Source organism: Homo sapiens, chromosome 7, assembly GCF_000001405.40.
Source record: "Homo sapiens chromosome 7, GRCh38.p14 Primary Assembly".
Classification (NCBI taxonomy): domain Eukaryota; kingdom Metazoa; phylum Chordata; class Mammalia; order Primates; family Hominidae; genus Homo; species Homo sapiens.
Window position 1 is genome coordinate 115,297,288 of NC_000007.14, and position 11,065 is coordinate 115,308,352.

Genomic DNA, 11,065 nt, shown 5'->3' on the forward strand with positions numbered 1-11,065 from the left:
GGATTCTTATTATTTTTTTACCCAACTGTCCCTTTCCCCCTCCCATTTACTTTTTGAAGGAGTTTTTTCCCACACATTTATATCTATCTCTGCATTAAAAAAGACTCCATAATATCAAAATATTGTCTAGAGATAGCAAAGAATTGCATGATGCAAAGAGTTATAAGGAAACCCAGCTATACTAATGCCTGTGTGGGATATCTCTTTAGTCAAGAAAGATATATTGGCTTAGCACTACACTATGCTATATCCCCCTATGATGGGGATACAAAGAGCCATGAAAAAGATGGAATTGGCCCCTATCCTCATGGTGCCTAGAGATTAGTGAGTTAATAATAATGGAATAGTTTGTGCCTCCATTTGCAAGCAGAAAAATTAACTCCTGTTTCTAGCAGATTCTGCTGATGAGAAGGCAGGAAGATAACTCAGAACCTTAGAATAAATGCATAGGCTTTCTCTATCAGTGCCTACATTCCTCCCCATTGAAGGCTGCATTTTACATACTGTCAGTGACTGTACCAGGATCCAGTGGAACTATGTGTGAACTGCTGATTCATTGGCAACATAGCTGTGATCTCAGACACCCTCAGACTGTGCTGGCTCCCTGCCCATCTGCCAATACTTTGTGATTCTTTTGTAGTCACTCAACTCCTAGTGGACAAGTGAAATCAACTAGCACAGAGCAGATGGGAAAGAGAAGGGGATTTTTCAAACTGATAATCTTTAATTAAAAGCATAACACTCTCTGGGTTCATGTCTCAGGAACACATAACATATAAAGTATTTTTATAATGAAATTCAGCTGGTACTTTCTTTCTCTAATGGGTCTTCTTGGATAGAAGCCAAATGGATTAAAGTTGTACCAAATTTGATCATTACCAGGAGGTATTATCATTAAGCTTTAATATATACAATTCAGCTTATGCATTTCTACCAAGAGAGCCAAAATTAATTTAATTTTATGAGGGTCAAGGGACAATTTTAAGGGGTTTTGGGGGGGCCTAGGATTGGGTTTTCTTCTGTATCATCATGTATGTTATCAGTGATGGTATAGAAGTTTCTGGGTCCAGTGGGATGAGGAGCAGTAGGGGATTCCATGGTGACGGAATTGGTGAGGGCAGAGAACAACTGAATTGAACATAATCTCATGATAGCCACTCTGACAACAGCATAGTCCAGTGATCAGCAAACTTTCTGTAAATGGCCAGCCATTACTATCTGGCTATTTTCGGATTTGTGGGCCACGAGGTTCCTTTTACAACTACTCAACCCTGATGTTGTAACAAGAAAATAGCCGCAGGCAAAATGCAAATGAAAAGATGTGGATGTGTGCCAATAAAATTTATAGATAAGGGAATTTGAATTTTATGTAATTTTACTATGTCATGAAATATTATTCCTCCCTTGATTTTTTCCCCAACCATTTAGAAATGTAAAAACTATCTTTGCTTACAGGGTATAAGTAAACAGATGGGCAGGCTAGATTGCTGACTCCTGGACGGGCGGCTTCTTTCATTCGACAGGGAGTTACTGAGTGACTTCTATGTGCCAAGCATGGTTCTCAGTGTTGAGAGCTCAGCAGTGAACAAATAGTTAAAAAGTTCCTGCCCACATAGAGCTTCCATTCTAGAATTGTCTGCTGTCATTGCTTATCACTCAAAAGTCACTATCATGATGACTCTTTATAAATGGACAGACCTGTTACAAAATCTCATGTGCACATACCTGTTGAGCCCCAAGTAAATGAAGTTTCTGCAGTTTCAGTTGCAAGCATTCTGTTTGTACATACCTTTATTATAACCTTTCTCACATCATATTATATCTTCTCATTTATTCCTCATCCCTAGCACGCTAGTTGGCACAGAAAAGGCATTTATGATAACTGAGTAATATCTAATAATATGTAATATTATTTAACTTAATATTTAAGAATTATATATTTAATAATAATGGACTAATAATTGGATCTAAGATGCTGTTATCATTATTTATGTACTAAAGAAAAAATATTGCCAATTAACTCTGAGATGGTTATCACTGCATCTTACATTTCAGAGATGCTAAAGTATGAAAAAATAAATGTGAGACTTAGACTCTATGAAATGTGGTAAATGTTTCCCGAATAAATGGCATCTCTATTCCCATCGATTCTGAAAATGTATAATGCTAATTTATAATGAGGCACAGGAAAAGTCAAAAACACAAATAAGGGCTGCGTGAGTAATGTCACAGGAGAATGTGCCTGACTGCCTCCCCGTGATTCTGCTGCAGTTGTGTACTGGAGATATTTGCTAAAAGGCCTTGCTTGCTTTCTGAAAGGCACCAGGGCTGCCTCTCTCACAGCCTTACCTCCTTCTTGCCAGTCTGGTGGTGAGTGATGCAGAAACATTTTAATTAATGGTGAACTTCTCAAAGTTGAAGTGCAAACAATTACAGCTCAATTTTACTTTTGGCCTCATTTTCATCATTTCCATTCTCTCCTCCCTCCCCATTAGATGACTCTGTTTCACAGTCTGTAAGCTGGCTAATGGCTCTGCTTGTGAAGGAGAGGACGTTGTTTCTCCCACAATTAAAAGCAGCAAAGAGACAAAGACAGAATTCTCATGCTAAACGCCTCTAGATGAGTCCTTCTGAAAGGCAGATAGTCACCCTTCCCTAGCTAGAAAATAGAATTTTTTTTTTCTAGAAAGGATCATGTCTGCTCCATAACAACTGTTTGCACATGAGATTCAAAGAAAGTTCATAGTACATATCACAAGTACATCTGATATGTAAGTGAAGTGATCTGTAGCACTGTTAATTAGACCTAAATTCTTGGTTTACTATTTATAAAACAAAATTGATTATTACTTCATCAACAACATTTAAAGCATCATTAAGAGAGGTCTGATCCAGCAGCCTCAGGTTAAATTTTTTAACAAGCACTTTAGTTGCTAATCTGTGTTATTGCCAACATATGTAAACTTCCTAATGCTAATTGCATTCAGCTGTGAATCAAACAATGTCTAATTCTCTTCAGGATTAATTATGCACATGTGCTGCCTGCATTCCTAAACATGGTTCTCATAAATAATAAGAGATATATCTAAGCAGATGGGATTTTCCATCTAAATGATCTGTTTATCATGAATAAAACAAACGACACATACTAGACTTCAAGTGCACAGTCACTGCAACTTCACATATTTTTAGCATTAATAATTACCCCAACAATTGTTTGTGTGGATACATTTTTGAACAATTGAGCAGCAAGCCATGTTTGCTCACATGCTATATTTATCTCTCACAACATGTTTTTTAAAATTTGAACTGAGAATCAGGAACAGTGTAGTTTATTTCATGCACTTACTGGGTAAAGATAATTGTACACCATAAAGATTAAAACCCTACAGTTCCCAGGGAGTTCTGTTTAAATGGACTTTGTAATTAAGCTGATAAAAGGTTATATAGTCTTCCCACTCCCATAGAACAGAATATGTTGGGGGACATCTTTTCTAGCATTGCAGGATGAGAGTTTTAGAATCATTTCAATAGTTGAATTCAACAATCATTTAATTCAATTATTCATTCCTGCAACAAAGATAATTTTGAAAGAAAATGGACATGTAAGGCAACAACAAAAACACCAAAAATCAAAAACCTTAGAAAATGTATAGAATTAAGTTAACAATGTATTTTATTTTATGGGATTATAGAGTTTTGTTCATTTGTATAGTATGTATGAATCAAAATTGAATTGAGATGCCTTGGCATTCCAGATAAAATTAGAATAACATTTTTTAAAGAAAGAGATTCATAACAGCTTCTTTAGAAAGGTTGAAAGGACAGAGATTTGGAATAGCATATGTCTCTCCAACTGTACTAGGCTCAGAACAGTAGTCACTTCCCCAAAATAATGCCAGAACAAGACAGAGATCTAGGATTGCACTGTCCAATATGGGCACCACTGGCCATTTTCGACTATTGAGTACTTGAGATGTGGCTAGCCTGAACTGAGATGGTTTTAAAAGACTGAGAACAAAAAGAATATAAAATATTATTTGTAATAACTTTTGTATATTGAAAGATACTGTTTTTAATGTATTGGGTTAAATAAAATAAATCATTGAAATAAATTTAACCTATTTATTTTCACTTTAGCAATGTCGGGGGGTCTAGCAAATTTAAAATTACATATGTAGCTGGCCTCATATTTGTATTAGACAATGCTGGTCTAGAGTGGGGCACAGACATATGTATTTTTAAAGTTCTGTACGTGAATCTGATGCATGTCAGATTGGATACCACTGCCCTAGAACTTAAGGAAGAGAGTAAACAGACGATTCATCACTTTATAATTGGAGACTTGGGCTATGTAGATCAAATCAGAAAACATGTCTGAGACTCAGAGCAGTCACATAACTTGTCCAAAGCCACATAGCCACAGTAAGTACCACACAGTAAGTCACAGCATCACAGTTGGTTTTCTGTGATTCCATAGCTCATGGTTTTCCTCTGCATAATACTGCCTTCTGGAAATACAAATGGAAAAAGAATGAGCAATATAGGTGCAGGATCAGAGGCACAAAATGACAGTAGAGTCAGATGAAAACAGTTTCTCAGAGGAGAAAAGTATTATTTAAGTACCATCTATTTGACAGTCTTGATGCTAGATGCTTTCATATATGTTATTTTATTCCAGTTTCACTTAGCTCACGGCAAACATTTTCTTATGACAACCCATAGACAAAGTTGTTGAGACAACATTTATCTCTCACATTTTTTGCTCCTTTGACTATTTCTTTTTCCTTCCAATACTCAATAGTAACCCTACTGCTTTCTCACCTCCTCTCTCTTTGTATTTTTAAAATACTGTAGTGACCAAAATGTATCAGTTTTGTCCATTACCCTTTTTTGCTGGGTTTTGCTAGGTAGCTAATTCCAGTAATTCCATATATTTGCTAATTTAGCAAATAATTGATAAATTATTTAATCTACAGCACTAAAGATAATATCTATATATAAACTTAGAATGCAAAAAGACCCGAGTTTGAATCCTGTATCTACTACCTAACAGTAGTGTAAACTTACAATTCATAGTAACTTACAAGTTATTTTACTTCATGATGTTTATTTTCGTTTCCTCTATCATAGAGATAACACCATCTCCCTTACAGGTTATTGTGAGGTCTGCTACAGATCTTCACAGTTCCTTGGTGTGACCTGTACCAGGTGCTCAGCCAATGTTAGTTCTTTCCATTTTTCTTTTTTCTTCCCTAACATATTATTCACCTTTTAGCATTCGCATGCAGAGCATTAACAAAAAGGGGATATATGGGTCTTTCAGTGGGAGGTAGGATGAGCTAAAGGAGACTTTTCTGTTACCTCACTATCTCACTAAACTCCATAGTTTCCTTTGGTCTGTACAAAACTGATATGGTTTGGCTGTGTCCCCACCCAAATCTCATCTTGAATTTCAGTGTATTAGGGGAGGGACGCAGTGGAAGGTATTGAATTATGAAAGCAGGTCTTTCCTGTGCTGTTCTTGTGATAGCGAATAAGTCTCATGAGATCTGACAGTATTATAAGGGGGAGTTTCCCTGCCCAATCTCTCTCTTTACCTGCCGCCATCCATGCAAGATGTAACTTGCTCCTCCCTGCCTTCTGCCATGATTGTGAGGCCTCCTCAGCCATGTGGAAGTGTAAGTCATTAAACCTCTTTCTTTTGTAAATTGCCCAGTCTTTGGTATGTCTTCATCAGCAATGTGAAAACAGACTAATATAGTAAATTGGTACCCGTAGAGTGGGGCATTGCTGAAAAGTTACCTGAAAATGTAGAATTGACTTTGGAACTGGGTAAGAGGTAGGAGCAGCTTGGAAGGCGCAGAAGACAGGACAATGTGGGAAAGTTTGGAACTTCCCAGAGACTTGTTGAATGGCTTTGACCAAAAGCCTGGTAGTGATATGGACAGTAAAGTCCAGGCTGACATGGTCTCAAATGGAGATGAGGAACTACTTGGAAACCAGACAAAAGGTGACACTTGTTATGTTTTAGCAAAGAGAGCATTTTGCCCCTGCCATAGAGATTTGTGGAACTGAACTTCAGAGAGATGATTTAGGGTATCTAGTGGAAGAAATATATATGCAGCAAAGTGACTTGGGTGCTGTTAATGACATTCAGTTTTATAAAGGAAGCCAAGTTTAAAAGTTCAGAAAATTTGCAGCCTGACAATGTGATAGAAAAGAAAAACCCGTTTTCTGAAGAGAATTTCAAGCCGGCTGCAGAAATTTACATAAGTAATGAGGAGCCAAATGTTAATCACCAAGACAATGGAGAAAGTATCTCCAGGGCATGTCAGAAGTCTTCAAGGCAGCTTCTCCCATCATAGGAGCTGAGCTCTAGGAGAAAAAGTGGTTTCGTGGGCCAGGTCCAGGGTCCCCACGCTGTGTGCAGCCTAGGGACTTGGTGCCCTGCATCTCAGCAGCTCCAGTCGTGGCTGAAAGGGGCCAATGTAGACCTTGGGTCATGGCTTCAGAGGATGCAAGCCCCAAGTCTTGGCAACTTCCACGTGGTGTTGAGCCTGCAAGTACACAGAAGTAAAGAACTGGGGTTTAGAAACCTCTGCCTAGATTTCAGAGGATGTATGGAAATGCCTGGATGTCCAGGCAGTAATTTGCTGCAGGGGCAGGGCTCTCATGAGAAACCTGTACTAGGGCAGTACAGAAGGGAAATGTGGGGTCAGAGCCCCACACAGAGTCTCTACTGGGACACCACCCAGTGGAGCTGTGAGAAGTGGGCCTCTATTCTCCAGACCCCAGAACAGTAGATCCACTGACAGCTTGCACTGTGCACCTGGAAAAGCTACAGACACTCAATGCCAGCCTGTTAAAGCAGCGGGGAGGGAGGCTGTACCCTGCAAAGCCACAGGGGTGCAGCTGCCAAAGACCATGGGGTCCCACCTCTTGCTTCAATGTGACCTGGATGTGAGATAGGGGAGTCAAAGGAGATCATTTTGGAGCTTTAAGATTTGACTGCCCCGCTGGATTTTGGACTTGCATGGATGGCCTGTAGCCCTTTTGTTTTGGCCAATTTCTCCCATCTAGAATGGATGCATTTATCAAATGCCTGTACCCTCATTGTGTCTAGGAAATATCTAGCTTGCTTTTGGTTTTACAGGCTCATAGGCAGAAGGAACTTGCCTTGTCTCAAAATGAGATGTTGGACTATGGACTTTTGAATTAATGCTGAAATGGTTTAAGATTTTGGGGGGACTGTTGGGAAGGCATGATTGGTTTTGAAATCTAAGGACATAAGATTTGGGAGGGGCCAGGGCAGAATAATATGGTTTGGCTGTGTCCCCTCCCAAATCTCATCTTGAATTCCCATGTGTTGTGGGAGTTACCCAGTGGGAGGTAATTGAATCATGGGTGCAGGTGTTTCCCATGCTCTTGTGAATAAACAAAATCTGACAATATTATAAAGAGCAGTTTCCCTGCCCAATATTTTTCTTTGCCTGCCACTATCCATTTAAGATGTGACTTGCTCCTCCTTGCCTTCCACCATGATTGTGAGGCCTCCCCAGCCATGTGGAACTGTACATTATTAAACTTCTTTTTTTTGTAAATAACACAGTCTCGCGTAGGTCTTTATCAGCAGTGTGAAAATGGACTAATACAAAAACCTTCCTTGTTTTAAACTATATATTTCTTACTTAGCTTAATTACAGTAAATGCAGTGCTAAAAAGCCCAAACTTTGTGATTCTACCAGTGAAATAATATAACCCTGCTATGGCTTTCACAGAAACACTTTACAATATCACCTATGTCATGTGGTAATAATGTAAAACATTGGATCAAATATTAAGGTCAGCTGCAAAACCCACATACTTAGGCTATTTAACTTTGTGTTAATGACTGTTTCAAACTCTTACAATCATACACTTTTGGTTAAACAATCAGCCATGGCCCTTCCTTATGGTTTTATGAAGACATCCGAGACTTCTGGAAGAAAAGCATCTCATATTGCTTGTTAGGATGAGATGGTATGAGGAGGAGATGGTGTGAATGTGATTAATGGTAGAAATAGAATATAGGAGAAAGTATTTTTTGGCACAATCCCTGTGTTTCAGGTTGTTACTGGGAAACATTCTTACCCCTTCCATTTACATCCTTCACAGTGCACCAGGACTCCAGCTCGTCACTCCATCCTCTACACTATGTGCAGTCTTCTAGTCCTTATTCAAAAAAAGTTGCCTCACCTATTAGATAGGTGCAAACATAATTGCTGTTTTTGCTATTAATTTTTTTTTTTTTTTTTGAGATGGAGTTTTGCTTTTGTTGCCCAGGCTGGAGTGCAATGGCACAAACTCGGCTCACCACAACCTCCGCCTCCTGGGTTCAAGCGATTCTCTTTCCTCAGCCTCCCGAGTAGCTGGGATTACAGGTGCCTGCCACCATGCGTCGCTAATTTTTTGTATTTTTAGGAGAGATGGGGTTTCACCATGTTGGCCAGGCTGGTTTTGAACTTCTGACCTCAGGTGATCCACCTGCCTCTGTCTCCCAAAGTGCTGGGATTACAGGTGTGTACTGCACCTGGCCTGCCATTACTTTTAATGGCAAAACCCACAATTATGTTTGCGTCAACCTAATAGATTTACTGGAAACTGATTATGCAGATTCATCAAGTATCTAAATAGCTTTTTCTCTTTCAATCAGATTTTTAGACCGAGAGTTCAACCAGATATTCACTCAAACTTCAAAACTAAAAACAAAACAAAGATAAAACAAACAAAACTCCAAATTTAATTATTTGCCTGCTGATACCTATAATAGTATGAGTATCATTTATGTTAAAAACAGAGGTATTTATGATCTTGAGACTTAAAAAATTACAATTATATTTAATAACTACATTTCCCAAGTCAGAGAAGTACGTATTTCAGTTTTCCATGAAGTTTTAAAAATAAAATGGTTATTGAACTTCATCTTTGCTCAGTCTCCTCATCTGTAAAATAGAGACAAAACTAAGTAAATACCTCATATGATAGCTTGGAGAAATAAAATAATAATTGTAAAATGCTTAGAACAGTGCCTGGCAATAATAGTGCTTAATAACTCTTATGTTATTATCATTAATAACTTATAAATTTAACCAACCTGAATCTTTTCACACACTTTTAACTATATTAAGTTCTTAATAGGACATTCTTATTAATCATGGATATGAACTAATCATCTCAGCAGTAAAGAATGCATATAGATGTAAAAAAGAATTCTAGCTATCTTAAAAATTGAAAAGCATCCAAAAATTAAAAAAAAGAAGAGGAATAAAACACCAGATTAATGAAGGAAATGGTGCTGTTGGAAACTCTGGTGGCTGTGCAATATATCTGTCCTGGGCATTGAGCCTGAGGGCATTTTTATGGTGTTTTTTTCCTTCACTTTTCTCTGAGCTCATGCCCACATGTAAATGCAAGCGACAGTCCATTCTCCTCCCCATTAGTGTCTTTCCAGACTTGATAAGGATATTCATGCTGTTCCCTAGGGTTTAATAATTGCCAAAAGATGCATTAAATGATAACATTGATTGTGAAGTACTTTAAGTCGATAAATTCTCTTGTTTAACAATTAATTTCATGTGCTTCCAAAAACTACTTGGCAAAGAACATATGGTACTTAATATTTTACTGACATTTAAACAAGTCTAAATTTGCTAGTTTCATTAAACAGCTTTATAATAAAATTTGTTTAATTTATAAAACGTATGTTTGGCAATGAATGTGCCATCTTATGTAATATAAGGGGTACATGGTTAGTAGGCTGCAGTCCAAATGTATTAGATATCTTTTTAATTGATGTTGGAGATATTTCTCCTCTTAAAGATCAAAATTTTAAGTGAGGGGATTTGGAGGTAAAAATAAATTGACAAATAAGCTAATTTCTATATGGTCTATTTAAAATGTAAATAATAAAATTGTCTCTTTCCCTTTATTAAAAAATATTCTCCAGATGGTTATATATATTACTACAGTTTTAAGTGTGAGGCCCCAGCTTAACAGACCCAGAACAAAACAACAAAATACAATTTTTAATCCCTTTTTAAAAAGGAAAATTATTTTCTGTTTTGAATCATCAAACACATGTTTTCCTTTATCTTCATTAATAAATTATATCCTATGATTTCTTCTGGTGTAAAGTTCTGTTATTCCTGTTTCTTCTAAAATATTGAATTTGGATGCAAATTTATTTTGTTCAGTGTTTAGTATGATTAATATAATTTAAAGTTGACATTCCAAATCAGTGGCAATAATTAATTACATTTTTTGAAAATGTAAGTTAGGTACAAAAATATACTTTATAATGCTCAAAAGTAAATGTAAAACAGGTAATAAAATAATTAGTTGAAAATTTAGAAGGATATTGATATAATGAGTAGGAAAGGTTTTGTCAAGCCCAATTCCAAAGGCAAAAGCATCAGTAAGAAATACTGATTATATAACACTACATACAAATGAAAAGCTTCTCTTTATCATGCACCATGAATGACCCCGGGAAAAATATTTGTCGGCAAAAGGGTAGCATCTTTATTATATAAAGAATGAAACATATCTATAAATCAATTAAAAAGACAAAATCTCAAATAGAAGAATACACAAAAGACATGAAAGAATAATGTGAAAAGAAAAAATATTCAGCTTCACTAGTAATCTAGGAAATGAATATTTAAAGAAAAACAAAATGTATATTGTGGTTATCAGATGAGAAAGCTGAAAAAGAATATTAATGTTTTAAAAATATGAAGAAATGGACATGCTTATATGCTTCCTCTCATAAGAAGCAATATTATTTAAAGAGTTATTTTGTAATAAATATCAATACCATAAAATGTCCATTCCCCATGATGTGCTTATTTCACATTGCATGTCTGTATCAAAACATCTCATGTACCCCATAAATATATACACCTACTATGTGCCCACAAAAATTTGAAACAAAAACTAACCCAAAATTGTCCAGAACAAGAATAACAATGTGGAGCTGTTCCAGACTAAAGGTGACTGAATAACAACAAATGTGATGTGAATC

General features: G+C 36.7%; 1 annotated feature.

Moving 5' to 3' along the window:
• Positions 2,196-2,920: an enhancer, noted in NCBI's record as "OCT4-NANOG hESC enhancer chr7:114939537-114940261 (GRCh37/hg19 assembly coordinates)". NCBI's record gives its function as "activates a minimal SCP1, AML or CMV promoter by ChIP-STARR-seq in naive H9 embryonic stem cells {active_cell/tissue: H9 hESC(naive)}" and the evidence as "EXISTENCE:reporter gene assay evidence [ECO:0000049][PMID:30033119]".